A 17,284-nucleotide genomic window follows, 5' to 3' on the forward strand; every position below is an offset into this window, starting at 1 on the left:
GGTAGGAATGTAAATTAGTACAGCCTCTATAGAAAACAGTATGGGAATTTCTCAAAACACTAAAAATAGGACTACCATATTATCTAGCAATTTCACTATATTCCTTTATCCAAAGGAAAATAAATTAGTCTATCAAAGGGATACCAGCATTCACATGATTATTGCAGCCCGATTTACAAAAGCAAAGATTTATAATCAACCTGAGTATTCATCCATAGATGAATGGATAAAGAAAATGTAGGCCTGGCGCGGTGGCTCACACCTGTAATCCCAGCAGTTTGGGAGGCCGAGGAGGGCGGATCATGAGGTCAGGAGATCGAGACCATCCTAGCTAACACGGTGAAACCCCGTCTCTACTAAATATGCAAAAAAAAATTAGCTGGGCGTGGTAGTGGGCGCCTGTAGTCCCAGCTACTTGGGAGGCTGAGGCAGGAGAATGGCGTGAGCCTGGGAGATGGAGCTTGCAGTGAGCCGAGATCGCGCCACTGCACTCCAGCCTGGGAGACAGAGCGAGACTCCGTCTCAAAAAAAAAAAAAAAAAAAAAAAGAGAAAATGTGTCATATATACCCAATGGAATGCTATTCAGCCATTTAAAAAAATGAAATCATATCGCTTGCAGCAACATGGATGGAAACAAGAGGTCAGTATGTTAAGAGAAATCAGCTAGACACAGGAAGACAAATTTTGTATGATCTCACTTATTTGAGGGAGGTAAAAAAGAAAAACAATCTCATGGAGGTAGAAAATAGATACTAGAGGCTGGGAAGAGTTTGTGGGTGGGAGGAGGAATGAAGAGAAGTTGATCAATGGGTACAAACATGTATTTCAATATAAAGTATAAGGTCTAATAGTCAATGGCAGAGCAGGGTAATTATAATTAGTAACAATGTATTATAAGCTAAAAGTAGCTAGAAGACAGAACAAATAGAAATGACAAATATTCAAGGTGATGAATACCCCAAAGACCCTGACTTGATCATTACACATTCTATACAAGCATAAAATATCACATGTACCCTATAAGTATGTGAAATATTATGTATCGGTAAAACAGTAACTTAATAAAAATTAAGCAAAAATCTTAAACATTTCCCAGAAAAATATTTACAAATGGCCAATAAAAATGAAAAAAAGTGTTCAATGTTATTAATATTTAGGAAAACATAAATGAAAACCACAATATTGGATTACTACTCAGCAATACATACAAATGACTCCTGAACATAGAATATATGTTGCTATGTATGTGTATTGTATGTATGTATCCATTTATGTTCGTATGTATACATTTATATGTACATATACAGTGTATGTATATGTGAATGCATCTCAAAACAATCTTGGGCAAATGAAACAGGATACATAAGAAAATCTATTATATGGTTCTTTCTAGCTGAAGTCCAAGAATAGGCAAAAGTCATCTGTGGTGATAAGTACAGATAGTGATCACTTCTTCAGGGCTGGGAAAGAATGACTAGAAAGGAGGATAAGGGAACTTTTGGGAATGACAGAAATATTTTATGTCTTGCTTGTAATAATGCTTATACACATTAACAAACTGAACCAGTACTCAACAAATTGAACACTTAACATATGTGCATTTTATTGTATAAGAAATATGCCTTAGTTCAGAAAAAAGAAAAAAAAGACTCTTTTCCATTTATTTATTAAAATATTTTTGGGGAAAGTTACTATAATTTCATACTTCATCCAAAATTTTTGACTTGTAGTAATGAATGCAATTTATTTCCTCCCATCTGGGATCTTACAGTTCATTATTTTTTCTTTCCATGACAAAAGGAAAGGATATAATACCTGGAGTGCTCTTTCAGCTCTTTAGCTGGTAAGGGACAAAGCTTTATTCAAATCACCTCAAGTAATAAGATTATATTGTGAACATGCACATTGACCTAATCTTGAGAAAACCCAGAAACAGTGGTAGGTTGGACTTCTGGAATTTGGAACAGGTCAAAAATTAAAGAACTCAAAGCATGTTTGGGAGCTAGTTAGCCTACCCCTGCTTCAACAGAAGAACAATGTCAATCTCTCTTTGTTATCAATTCCTCCACTTCTGATCTAGCCACCACCAATCCAGCTATCTCACATTCTAATGCTCTATATCTTTTGTCTTCCACTTACACATATTTACTCCCTCATAGCCTCTGCTTACTTGTTACTTCAGCTTACTCAACTCTATTATTGCTAACAAAATAATTCCCCCTTTCTCCCTATCTATTCAGCAAAATGTTTCCAGATAGAATATGTGAGCTGGCCTAAATAATCCTCATCTGTGTTTTGACTATCTAGTAACAGAACATTCATGCAAAATTACCTCCCAGGCCATTCTACCAGACAGCCTATAGACTAGCTGCACTGAGGCAATTGTCCTTCCTTGAGTGAACCAGCTGTGACATAAAAACACAGTAAGGTGATGCCATCGGAGCAAGATATGGGTTAAGAAACTAAATTTAGATTTTCCCTCAACATGAGGCTAATCATAACCAGATAAATCTCCTTTAGATGGTGCAATAATTGGTAAAAAATGTGATTGCCTGTCTTGCATGTTGTTTCTCCCAAATAATACAAAAATAACTGAACTCTATGATAGTTTTTTGGGGGGTAAGAGTTTGGGGGGAACTAGCAGAAAGGTACTACTCCCTGAAGTTGATACTTAATTTGCATTAAATAACCTAAAACAAAAAATTGACAAAATTTATATCAAGGTTTTAGATGTTTTAAATAGAACACATTTACATGTGACATTTGAACCAAAAAATGCGATTTATCCATAATCACAAAATAAGATAAGGTAATCTGCTGCATAATTATCATTATTCAAACAAGTTATCATTTTAGAAACTTACAAGTTAAGACTCCAAAAATCCATTTTAAAAATGATCAAGTAAAAGAATATCCTATTTTTCTTACTTGATTTGTTTTTAATACTTGTTTCTGTCTTTCCTAACTGTCTAGTTAGTAATTCTCTTCAAATGCTATTTTCTTTCTCCAATGTCTACAGCACCAGGAATTCTTTATTGTTTTGCAACCAAAATGTCCAACCAGTCAACATCACAGACTCCACTGTTCCACCTATCAGTAGGAGTGAAGCATCCTACTGCCTGTCAACGGAGGAGTCTTCAACTTACCCCGTGGATTTTTCCTTCTTTTCACCCACTGCATTAGTAAGAACTTTGCTTCTCCATTATAGCTCCTAAATCATAGATTCTCCCTCCTTTCAATTCTATCTGAATCAGCATACAAACATGCTAAATCCTATCTTTTAAAAAGAAGGAGGGAAGGAAGGAAAGAAGAAAGGAAGAAAAGAAAAGGAGGGGAGGAAAGAAGAGATAGGATGGAGAAGGGAAGGAAGGAAAACAATTTTCTTTCTAGTCTACTTCCCTTTGGGCTGTCTCTTTCATCTCAAAATTTATTGAAATAATGATACATATTTACCTTCTCCACATCCTCTACTCTAATCTCAATCTAATCCAACCATACTATCTTTCTAGCCTACTTCCCTTTGGACTGTCTCTTTCATCTCAAAATTTATTGAAATAATGGTATATATTTACCTTCTCCACATCCTTCTACTCTAATCTCGATCTAATCCAAACATACTATCATTCTCACAGCATCACTAAAACTGCTCTTGTTAAAGTAACCACATTTTAAAATCCAATGGTCCAGTCTCTATTCTTATCTAATTTAAACCCTTATCAGTACTTGATAAGTAGTCTCTCTACCTTTCTGAAAATATTTTCTTTTCTTGGTCTCAGTGTTTCTACATTCTTAGTCTTCTTTCTGTTTCACTGATGGCCATTTTGTGGTATCATTTGCTGGATTTTCCTACTTGGCTTAACTTCTAAATTTTGAAGACCTGAAAACTCAGTCTTGTATCTCTTTCTCTTTTGTATCGTCCACCTCGGTGACCTCATCCAGTCCCACAGTTCTAAATTCCAACTGCAAGGCTCTGTCTGTATCTTTCTAAACTCAAAACTCATTATCTAACTACTTAGTTCATTCTGCTTCTTGAACGGCAGAACAAATTTTGTATGGTAAGTAACTAAAACACATTTTTTAGTTTTTTCTTGCCCAAATTGCTCTTTCCTGAGCTTTCTACACTCTGGCAAGATGACCACCATCTGCCCAGCTTTTCAAGCCAAATACGTAAGTTCATGTTCTTCTCTTGCTAAATATGAGAATTCTCTAATGAATTCCCATTACTCCAAGAATTGAGTTGGTGAAGCAGGTTCAACGTGCACTGGTTACTTATCTGAGTTTGCTGAGAAATAACACTTATACACATAAGTTACAAGAAGAGGGTTTTTTCACTTGCAGATAGGCAGCAAGGGACAAGAGCACCATAGAATTAATTGCTGGATGGTCCTCAAAGTCTCAGGAAAGCTTCTCCAGGGTGGATGGAGTCTCAACTGCTTGTTCCCCACTTGCATCACAGCTGAGGGACCCTGGAAAGCAGCCTGCCCTGGATTTTATACTCTGGTGTCACAAGACTCACTGCACTAAAGCACTGCAGGACATCCTGTTGTTACAAGGGACTGCAACAGAGCCTAGGCTATTACAGTCAATCCTCCTTTATCTCAGAAATTTGCATTCCCATCAAATTCTAAAGTTTTTAGTTTTTTGTTTTGTTTTGTTTTTGATAATTACAAGTAAGAAAGGAGGGAGGACTTGGTTGGTCCAAGGTTAACCAGAGAACTGTTTGGCAAAATCATGGTCTTTGACTTTATTTAGTTACAGTGTTCCATGCAATCTGACCCCATGCACCTTTCTGATGTCCTCTTTTATTGCCCCCCTCCATTTTTTACTATGCTGTAGCTGCATTGGATATTTTCTATTTTTTGAACATTATATTTTAAATTAAATGCTAGACTAGTCAATCGAATATAGCCACCAACATTCTCTATCTCATTATTCTTTTATAATTTTCTTCATTAAAAGCATCACAATCTTGTCTAGCCTTGACTTTTGACAATGAACCCAATTTTAATATGTAGTATTTTTGTATGCCAAACTGGTGTCTTGTCTCTTGTATACGTGGTAATGTTGATTTTATGACTACCATTAAAACACATTTGCTGTGATTAAAATTCATATGATGATTTCAAATGGAAAATTAAAGAAATTATCACCATCTGATATTTATCTTTTTGTTTTTTTTAATTACTATTGCAGTAGAATGTTAACTCTATCAAAGTAGAAACTTCACCTATCTATTCTCTACTATCTTTCCAGAGTTTAGAACAGTCTGGTATATAGTAGACATTCCAACAACTTTCAAATAATTCTAACAAGAATTCAGGAAAATATATGTGAATAGTGTGTGACCCAAAGTACATTAACTATTATTGTTTTAAGTTATTTTTTCACTGGTATCACTATTTGTATTAATAATGTTATAAGTGGTTACAGGTAAAATAGTAAGTACAACATGTGTATGTGTTAGGAAGACTGTAGTTCTCATTAAAATGTTAATGTAATGGGGGCATGTGTTTAGCTTTATTCCATGTGTGTGATGTTGGCTTTCACTAACATCTAACAAAGTTAGTGGCTTTGTGGCTAACTTTGTAACTAACTAACAAAGTTAGTGGCTAACAAGTGTTAGTGGCTTTCACTAACACTAGCAAAAGCTTGGATGTGGGAAGGAAGAGCATCCACTTGCTTCACACAGCCATGGGCAATGTAGCGTTCTGTAACAGCCATCTGGGACAGGTCCTAAATTGAATACATGTCAGCCATGTGAAGCTGCATCCCACCTAGTTGATTTTCAGACCCGCTACCACCAAATGTCCCATTCTCTCTCCCTGCTTCCAGCTTATTGGTTTGCCCCATGCTTCCAGCCTCAGGCATCTTCTCAACCTTTCCCCAAGGAAAGCCCTCAGTGGTCCCCAGGAAGGCCTTCACCACTATTGGCGAAAAGATTTAAGGAAATGAAAGAAACCTGTCTCCACAAAACACATAAGGTTGCTTCATGAAAGAGAATGATTAGCTTTAGAGATTTTTCAGCTCAAAAAGAAAACATGTTACCTTGTTTTAGATACTCACATTAAAATGAAACCTAATGTATGAACAACAATAACAAAAAGATTATTCCAGCAGTATACTAAGAAATAGATTCTTCATAGTTTACGTGGACCCAGTGACTTTTGTAGGTGCTGAGCAATTCTATTTTTGTGGGCCCCTTTCTCAATAAAAATTATCAAAAATATATTTTCTGACCATATTAACTGACATAAAATGAATGTCATTACATATTAAAAATTTTTTCTTTATCTAAAAGTTTCTTGCTTTCCCTTCAGATTTTAAAATAAATTAAAATCTTTTCATAGGCCTCTAAAAGAAGGGAGGCTCAACTGCTGTGCTTACAGTGCCTAATGGATAAGTTGGCCCTGCTCAAATGAGAGGAAAATATTTTGAATGCAGTTTGTCTCTCAAATGGCTAAATCATTCTTCAAACCAAGCACTATAGTTGTGTCTCACAGAGTTTTTATGGTTTTCCATATCACTAAATAATCATTTAACATGTACTTAGAGCACTTAGAACACAAAAGACAAGGACTGTGGTTGCCCAGATTACTAGAAGAGCTAAATTGAATATATTTCTCCAACCAAATTAAAGCAAAATTTTAAAATAATCAAACATGTTGCTATTTAATATCCCTGAACATATGGGTTCACAAGAGCACTCACTGATTTTTTTTTGGTAGGATCTTTAAAAACTAGAAAGATCCACATAAAAATAAATGTTATATCTTGGTCCATTAAAAATTAATATGGAATTGGCAAACCAAATATTGTATTATAATGATTAATTACTCTTCCTTTTTCCCTACTCTTCCTGCAGTTATTCAGACAGGGTTTCATATACTCTGTCCTACCTCCTTTCCCCAATTTGCCCATAGGGAGGATAGCTATACATTCCAATGAGCCTTTGGAATTCTCTGTTTATCCTTTTGCCCCAGTACCTCCCTTTCACTCTTACAAGTTAGACAATGAATCATAGTCATCCTATCTATAGTGACTCAAGAGTTTGTTCTTTCAATTCTATTTATATTCTCGTCAAATTAAACTATTTTAACAGCAGAGAAAGATAAGGAAGCTATCTGTACCAGATTAAATCCCTTGAAACATAGGTCTGCATATGTAAGTTCCAGATGCAAAAATTACCATTTACTTTCCATTGGTTATACAATAAAGTTCAATATAAGAATGTCCTTAATCTGATTTTAACCTCTGAATACACCATACTCTCTCCTATCTAATCTATTTACTGTTCTCCCCACTTACTTTTCATCATACTCTGACTCTCCCCTCTCCTAGATATTTCAGATGAAATATTCTGCCCATCCCAGGCCCAGCCCCAAAGAGCGAAATCTTAAAAGCTAGCCTATCCTGCCAGGATCCCAAGAAGATCTTTCTCTTCCACCCTCTCCCCCAACTGTGAAGGGCTATTATCTGATAATTCAATTTTTCCTCAACATTGATAACCTGCTTTATAGGTAGAAAATAGATAAGTGTCTATATAGTTATTTCAGAAATTTAGTTGTGTCTAAACTATGTCTTCTTCTACCTCCTGAAATATTGTTGGAGCTTCATCAAACATATTCTTAAATTAACCTTCAAATACCCCTGAGAGGGAAAGTTTTTAAAGTTTTTGTCAACAATTTATAACCTAGTGTAAGTTAAAATTTTGAAAATAGGTTTTAATACGGAGAATGGAGGCCTAAGTTAAAGGAAGGGAAAAACAGTATCTTGCCAAAAGAAAATTATTTTGATTTCTAGTCTAGCTAACTCAATAGCCCATGAAATCTTTACCTGCTAGAATCAGCTTTGAACCCGTTTAAAAATATTCCTGTGTTGTGGAGGCATCCAGCAGAGTGTTTTAAAAAAATGTGCACTAGAGTCTTTGAAATGTGGACACAAACACGGATTCTGCCATTGATTTGCTGTAAAACCTTGTGCAATGTAAGAAAGTTCTCTAAGCTTTAAATTATTTAATCTGTAAAAGATGATCATTCTTAACTAAAATTGTTATAAAGATATGTGAAAATAACCTTACTATCGTGCCTAGTTTACCCTGATTTCAGTGAAAAACTAAAGACCCTTCCCTTTGCCACTTTTCAAAAAAAAGAAAAAAGAAAAAAGTAAGACATCACAAATGTATCAACATTAGAAGAAAAGAAAGATATGTAAAACTAGAGCAATTTACAGGGCAAAATATCTGACTGGAAATAAACAAGTTAGGTAAAAAATATTCCAGACCCCACCTATAGAGAAACCACTGTATTTTCTCCATCTTTCCCATTCTGGGAATTTTAATCTCTGGAGGAAAAACAAAATGAAACAAAAACAAAACAAAGAAATTCTGGGATTCAAGCACAGGAGATGATGGGAGAATGCCACCACCATGTAAACAGTGGACTAAATAAAAGTTCCCACACATAAGGGTAAGTTCAACAACCTTCTTCTCATCCCACTTTCAGTGTATACAGCTAAGCTTGTATTACCTTACATACCCTGAAAAAAAGCAAGCTGGCCAGCAGGCTGTGCACCCTCTAGCAAAATGGTCAATTGGCAGTCTTCCCTTTGCAAAGTAAGTTTTCAGTCAGCATAACCAACAACCATCAGATATTTGCAAGAAGATCTGAACAAAAGATCTTGAAAAAAAGGAAACATCAAAATAAATAGGAAATAAAAATAAAGATAATAGAATTGTGGAAAATATAATGTCATCAGTAGGTTAAGAAAATAGACAATATTGCATTCATACAATATAAAGATAGAATGCCATTGAAAAAATTAGAGAACAAGACATGGGCCGTACATTTCAAAAATATTTTTAAAATTAAAAATCAATATTAGAGTTAGAATATAAGCTCAAGGAAATATCTTAGAAAGAAAAAAAAAAGCATGATAAGTTGGATGAGAAAAGGTAAAACAATTAGAGGATCAAATCCAAAGCTCTAACATCTGACTAGTAGAAAACACAGATGGTGAGAGGGAAATTATTTTTAAAAAAAATACGTAAGGAATTGTTCCTGAATTAAAAAATATATATATTTCAGATATGTACCCAGTATGAAGAATGACAAAGATTCATGCCAAAGTACAAAATCATAAAATTTCAAAATGTCACATATTAAAATTAGATTCTAACTGCTTCCCAAGAGAAAAACAAAACACTGTCCTTTAAAGAGGTTAATATACAAGGGATCAAGAATCAGAGAGATATGCGACTTCTTTGAAGAAACACCGGGAGCTAGCAAACAATGGAATAAGTATGGTTAGGGGACAGATATTTAAGATGGAGAAAGCATCAAACAACTTACTTTCCAAGAACTCTTTCTCAGAAAGCTTATTAGAAAATTTACTCCACAAAACTAAAGAAGTAAAGCAAGAGAGAAATAAAGGTAATTCCAGAAGACAAGTATTAGCTATTAGCAGGCCTAGATTGAAAACCATCAAACCAGATTTGAGATGGGGCCTTCTGAGAAAGAAAGAACTGAGAAATAAAGTTGACAAATTCAAAAATATGAAGGCATAGAAAATTGTACTAAATATTTGACAGTCATGGGGAGATTTAGCTGTGAGTACAAAGAAATTAAGCAAATTAAAAATAACAACATGTAGGGCCCAGTGGTGCATACCTGTAATCCCAACACTTTGGGAGGTTGAGGTGTGAGGATGGCTTGAGCCCAGGAGTTTGAGACCAGCCTGGGCAACATAGTAAGACCTCATCTCTACAAAAACAAAAAAATCAAAAACTGAGGCAGAGGATTGCTTGAGCTTGAGCTTGAGCTTGGGAGGTCAAGGCTGCAATTGGCTGTGATCACACCACTGCATTCCTGCCTGGGTGGCAGGGTAAGACCCTGTCTCAAAAAAAAAAAATGAAATTTTTTTTAAGGAAAATTATCAAAAGCTATGCAAGAAAAGAACTACTCCCGCTGAGTTGGTCTGCCTCCATCACATCTTGGAATCAGAGCTTTTTGCTCTGAGCTGGAGGATGATTAGAACTTTAGGCTACCTGCCCAGCAGGAATTTCAGAGGTACAGGCCAGCCCCCTTCACACTGATGAATTTCCATTTATCTAGGCCTTCTCTAGCCTTTAACTTCTGAGCATAAGTGAGCTCCTGTTTGGGAGCTTATAATAATCTCATAAAGCCACTCTTGTCTTGGTTTTCAGCTGACTGGCTTTCCCCACCACTAGCAAACTGTTCTATCTTCATTCCAGTTTATTAAAATTGGTGAACTGTGTGCCTTTTAGCAGAGGAAGACCAAGTCCTTTTTGGTTTAATTTTCATAATTTCACTTTATCTTTATATATTATCCAAAAAATGTGAAAAGAATTGAAAAAAAAATTCTATGACCAGTTGAGTCTTCATTTGATGCCTTGCCTTTGGTAGAATAAATAATTTCAAGATTGCATACCTGGGTGTATGAGAGCTGGGTATGTGGAGCTCCCTTCCAGGTAGTTGTCTTTATTTCCTATGTCCTTTCATTCCCAATTTATGTTTGGTTCCACGGAATTAGTGCCAGGAAGTTACTAAAATCCTGATTTCCACTAACATTAAGTCATTGTGCAAATACAATGGGGGACAAATAGTCCAGTATTTCTAGGTTCAACTGGGATACAATTGGACTGAAATGAGAAGCAGGAATGCACAATGTGAAAGAAATTATGGGAAACCAAGAGCTTTAATCTTGACTATCTTCTAGCAACATAAAAGAGAAACACATGTACATTGATAGCAATTGCAATAGACAATTTAAAACAAAATCAGTGTGCCCCTACCCAAACATCTGGCCATGGATAAACCCAATGTTGTAATAGTTTGGACAAATGAGTCCTGGTCCCTTTCTATTTGCTAGTTGCATCCCTTACCTTATTATGAGACCTACCTCTCTATTAAATTACTTGTCTAACTAGTCAACTTGCCATTTCCTTGTAAACTGGCTAAACATTGAGAGTGGTGAACTTGCTGAATTGCACTGACTGTCTTAATGGAGGTTTCTGGGAGAATATTATGAAAGGTTGAAGGTAGATTTTACAGTCACTAAGTCCGGGGTGAATATAACAAGAATCCATTGTAGAAGTGGACATAGGCTCCCAGGAACCACATTACTTAGGCTATGCTATCGGCAAATGGCCATATGAATCCACCGGTGGTCCTGTAGTGGGTGACTTGCTGAATGGGCACTACCATCTGCACATCCAGATAGATACTTGACACGTATTACCCTCAAATTCCTGTGAAGTTGACTGCAGCACAGCAGGTGCCATGGAATAGCTTGTGCTCCTTAAATTCATAGCATGTTCAATGTTCAAGGAGTTAATTAAAAAATACTCTCCAGATTTACACATTTTCTCAGAGTAGATCAAAAGAGGGTTTGGAAATACAAGCCTAAAGTAAATAAGACCAACTGCTGATTTTTCAATTAGGTTATGTTTCAGGGATACAAAATTACATATTCCTTTCCTATGCACATCCCCTGCACTTTTTAAACACAGAGCAACCCATTATTAAGCTATTAATCACCTCTTCCAATTAATTGCTAGAAAATGACCCAGATTTTAGTAGTAGTGTTGCAATTGAAAAGCTCTTTGATATTTGGCAAGGTAAAGTTACAGGCAGTAGTAATTTGAGACAGTGAGGCTATTAGCTGCTGTTTAGAATCTCAATTACTCTAAAGATAGATAATTACAAATAAAACAAACTTGTTCTCCTACATTAGTAAGTGCTTCTCTTTTGCTTTATGAAATTTCAGTGATTTTTTCAGCCACTAAATATAATTTCCATGTGAAAAATTGACCTTAACAGTTTGAAGTATAGCTACAAGGAGAAGCCGTGTTTTCATCGAAGAGAATAAATGCATTTCCTGAACTCTGGCTGTTAAAGCTAATTGATTTATTGGCTCTCTATATAGTGTGCTATTGTCTTTATGCTCTTGGGATATGAAAACTCTTCAGAAAAGAGCTAAATTCTACCACATCAATATGACAGTTGAAGCACACCTCTCCTTTCTGTAAGTGCAGGGTTCCTTGCACCTTAAAAATAAGAAAGAAAATCTCTTTCCAGGATAAGTTGGAGCTAACTGAATGCTGCTGCATCCCTTGGCTTATGGAATGTGTACTTTTACTGCTTTAATGTTCCTGAGAAGTTAATAGTGTGGGGGTTCTTTTCTTTTTAATCATATTCCTTTCACAGTAAAATATTTATTCAAGCAAATGTAAAGTACTTGTCAAAATATGAGAATATGAAATTTCCATTTTTAGGTTTCTTAAACACAGCAGTGATACAAAATATAAAGTGATGCATTTTCCCCCAGGGCTAGTTTTTAAATTCATTAAATTACCAAGTATGTTTTTGTTTTATTTCCCTTCTACCTTTTGGTTGCTATATAAATTACTCCATATGAGAGAAGTTTCTCAGCTACAATTGATCTCAACATTGTACAATCATCTGCATAAAAAGTTATGAAGTCAAACAAATAAAGTGAAAAACACAAACACTGAAATGGTTCTATCTAGATGTTCCCTTAACATGAGGTATAGTCAACAGACTGATGATGCCTTTAAGAAGAATCTCAGTTCAGAAAGCAAAACAAGGGTGAGCATTTTATAGCACGTGTACATCTATCAGGCTGACACCAAAGGCCATGGAATACTGATGGAATGATTCCAGGTTCAAGGTATCCTACACAGCCTGCAGGCCCATGGGCCACCAGTGAGAAAATTTCATCTTCCCCTCTTCCAAACCTACCCTTTATATAGCTGTTGATTTGGGTTGGTAGGAAAGATTAGATGATAGGTTTGTTTTTTCTTAAAAGTTTCTTTACCTCCAACAATATATACATAATAGTATTGTATATAAAAAATATACTGCATAAAAATATTTTTTCTCTCATAGTAAGAGCATTAGTATATGATTTGCTAATGTCACCATCATGTTTGGCCCAAGTGCCTGTTAAGACTATATGCTGACTACTATCAGAAATAGAAAAATAAAGAGAAGCATACATATGTTCAAAGGAAATTAATAAAACAAATTTCCCTTGCTTGTCAAGAAGGTCTGAATAATAGCTGAAAAATAAGTTAATTTATTTAAGAAAATATGACTTCTCTTTTAGACATTCATGTTTGGGGGTTATTTCTCTGTTCTCCACCACCAGAATGTATTACCCACCAATTTTCCCTAGATAAAGTCTTCCACAATATGTAATTGTTGTCTTTTTCATAGTAGCACATCTTTAGAGCAAACCAGTAGAGTGCTGCTTCCATTTAAAAGGGAGAAATGTTACTAAGTAATTCACAAATTGAAATTGTCTTTCTGAATGCAGAAAGCTATGCAGCCTTCATTTGACATCAACAGTTTTGGAACAGAGAAAGTTCGGAATTTCAATTAATTTAGTTTGAACAATGTAAGTTAGTTTATGTGTTGAGATAAGGACAAGACAAAGCTTTATTTTGAAATAGGAAGTTTTATCAATAGACTGCAAATGTTTTCTGAATGGCCATTGGAAATAGGGGGTATGGGCATATGGGATACCATTTAAGAATGGATATATTCCTGACTGGGCACGGTGGCTCATGCCTGTAATCCCAGCACTTTGAAAGCCAGAGGCAGGTGGATTACCTAAGGTCAGGAGTTCGAGACCAGCCTGACCAACATGGTGATGCCCCGTCTCTACTAAAAAATACAAAAATTAGGTGGATGTGGTGGTGCATGCCTGTAATCCCAGCTACTCGAGAGGCTGAGGCAGGAGACTCACTTGAACCCAGGAGGCAGAGGTTGCAGTCAGCTGAGATCACGCCATTGCACTCCAGCCTGAGTACAAGAGCAAAATTCCATTTCAAAAAAAAAGAAAGAAAAAAAAGAATGGGTATACTCCCTATATTCAAAGTTTTTATAATCAAATTGTGAAATATACATATTGTTTAATATTCACTATTAGATTATAAAAACATATGTTCACTATTAGATTATATGTATAATCACATATATATATATACACACACACACACACACACACACAAACATATATATATAGTGTTTCTCACTGAAGTCCCAGGGGCCTGCAGGCTTTGTGGGATACCTTGAACCTGGAATTATCTCATCAGTATTCCATACTCATTGGTGTCAGTCTGACAGGCTTACACACACTATAAATATCATTCACTATTCACTAACATATATTCACTATTAGATTATATATATAACATATTTATATATATTAGCATATATTCATGCAATTATTTCCAGAGAGCCTGGCAAGATGAGTCATCAGAATTTTGCAGTGTAGTTAAAAAGAGAAAGCTTACAATCAGATATTCTGCATTCAAAGATATTCCGAATTCTATGTATATTGTGGGTCACATTGGTTAGTAATCCCACTTCTTCATATCCATCATAATGTTGGCTCAAAAAGTCAGAGATGGAGTGAGGTATCTGCCAATGATGAGTATTCCCCCAAATTTACCTTTACAGTATTTTCACATTTATTGACTCTAGTGTTTTATTGTATCTTATAAATCTTTGCATCCGTAGAAACTTTCACAGTGACCAACACATTGTAGTACCTAAGTAAACAGTCAATGACTAAGTGAATAAATGAATAAGTGAATCTCAGCATTTCCTCGTGATAAAACACTAAGCACAAACTGGGATGGATTACAGACTTTTCTGAGACCATGCCTTGGTGCACATATGGGAACCCTTTGCTTCACCCACCATTGGAGAAGAGATATCTGCAGATGCTCTGCAAATCTCTGACTATGTGTATGTGTGTGTGTGTGTGTGTGCGTGTATGTGTATATATACACACAAACTTGTGAATACACTATAAAAAGCAGCAAAGTTAATAGAAAAAAATCAGCCTCCATCCTAAGATTAGAATTCTTTTCTGGATTTTTCTGGTCCCATAATGTTCACAGTAATTATATGACATTGACTATCTATATACATTATATCAGCTAGGTCCTTTCTATTTAGCACTTGATTCAAACTCTAGGATGAAACTCTATATTTCAGTATCTGTCAGATTATTTTTTTCCTAGACTCCTGCTTACTTTCTCCTTTGTTTTTGAGATGATGTCTTGCTGTGTTGCCCAGGCTGGACTTGAATTCCTTGGTTTAAGTGATTCTCTTGCCTCAGACTCCCTTTTAGCTGGGACTACAGGTGGACACCACCATGTCCAGCAAGGACTCCTACTTAGGATGTCTCCTAGTCGGCTATCGACTGTTTCCACATACCTTGTATATTTACCCTAATTTAGTGAATAGAACATGATGAATTGATCATAGTTTATCACATCTTTCAGGTCTGTATCAATTAGACTCACCATTCTCAAAAAAAATTATACTATTTTCTACCTAAATAAGCATTAATAGTCTCGCAGATACAAAGGAGAAACTAATCTGATCAACAAAAGTCTAAACTTGGCTGCTTTCATGTCTTCATAGATAATCAGAAAAAACAAATTTTTATTTATGAATTACAGTAAAGTACCTAAACAGGTAGCCTCTACTGACAAATGAGTGAGGAGGTACAGGACAAAGGTTTCATGGTATATCCACGGAAACCCAAACTAAAGCATTTCCATTTCCAGTGTTACTTTCTTAGTAACTATCCATTCTTGGTGAGACAAAGAGTTTGTTGTTCAAAGTGATGACAAGTGACATGTACTAAGCAACACACAGAAGCGTGAAGATCCAGAATTAAAAAAAAAAAAAAGAAAAGGCAGAGGTATGGCAAAGCAGAACACTTCAAATCTCCTAAAACAATTTTAAAGTTCTTCTGTGATCATACATGACCAAGACTTATGTTAACCTAATAATGCATAATATTCAAGTTCCCACCTAATTGGGCTTGGACAATGCCCCTCTAACACAAAAGATCACTTTGCAGAATATGCACAGGCAATAATTACAATTTGCAGGGAAATGGCAATTCAGGAGAAAAAGTATCAATTATATTACTTTGAGTAGTTGTGAGTCTTTGTCATCCATTTTTGTCAAACTTTTCAAACAAGTCTGAATATTTTCACATAGGTATAGGGAGCCTATTGCTTGTCTGCTTGTTCTATCCTTCCTCCATGAAATTGGTAATGAGGCCTACTCCCATTGGTACAGTACATAGAGAATGAATTGTTTGACTAAGTCAACCAGAATAAGATGTCCCAAGAGCCTGAGAAAGTTTAGAATAGTATCTCAAAGAAATCATTATTCTGCAATCACTTAACTGAATTTCATCTTTTTGGTTTGTTAGGGAGACTGGAACAGGTGTTAATATCCACATATTACATATGTGTATATTACATATCCACAAGAGGAAGAGGAAGAACAAGAGGCAAAGAAAGAACACAGATCAACCCTGACTGTACATGTCTGCACATAATCCACTGCCCTATCCACTTTTCTACTCAGGCCATGTGGGTTTAAAACCCAGCCCCGTAGCAAGTTTTTAAAAAATACGAATTTAGAGAAATTATAAATATCAGGAAAAAAACAGGGTGTTTGTTCGCCACCAAATTTTACATATTTTCTTAGAATTTTGAGAATAAATAAAAGGAAGTTTGTTCAAATCCTATTTCATTTACCTGTTCCTTCAGTGCAAAGGGAAATAGCAATCCTGTGCAAAAATGGCCACTCCTGCCTTCCTAGCATTCTTATGTGTTATAAAGCCCTTTATAAGATCTGATACCCAACTGAGTACTTCCTTTCACCATTAACTCCTTAAACCATGAATATTTAAAGCAAACAAAGTTTAAACCCCTTACTCTTTTCACAGTTAGTATCTATAATCCCTTTTTCCAGACTAGGTATTTCTAAATCGTGTTAAATCTTTCATCTTCCTTCTGGTCAATTTCAAGGTTTTTATTGAATCAAATGCAATTTTTTTATACCAGCGTTTCTTTTGCTTTTAGACATTTCTACTGGCTTAGCAAGAGCTGTTCAAATTAGGTGATTATTTTATATGTAGTACCTTGATTTAAGCAGTCTTAATTTTTGGACAATAATCTCCAGGTGAATCATTAATTTATCTCTTTATTTTTAATGCATGGGACAATTAAAATTTGTCCTGAAAAATTAAGGATATTTTCCTTTTGTGGAATTTGAAAATAGTTTGATTTTTCTATTTTGGCAAACAACTCAAACTCTATTTTCAATAATCCTAAAAGTTAAGAAGGCAATAAATGGATCCACAATTAAATATTACATTTTCTTCTGATAAATTGTTGAGGAATAAACTAAAATCAATATAGTT

The 17,284-nt window shown here is 35.3% G+C and overlaps 1 long non-coding RNA gene across 5 annotated transcripts in view; it reads right to left on the minus strand.

Annotated features, from left to right (window-relative positions):
* The window catches only part of LOC105373703 (uncharacterized), a 158,249-nt gene that overhangs the window by 132,154 nt on the left and 8,811 nt on the right, over nucleotides 1–17,284 (minus strand). The gene's annotated exons all lie outside the window — the stretch shown is intronic.

The sequence above is a fragment of the Homo sapiens genome, chromosome 2 (genome assembly GCF_000001405.40).
Source record: "Homo sapiens chromosome 2, GRCh38.p14 Primary Assembly".
In the NCBI taxonomy this organism is placed as follows: domain Eukaryota; kingdom Metazoa; phylum Chordata; class Mammalia; order Primates; family Hominidae; genus Homo; species Homo sapiens.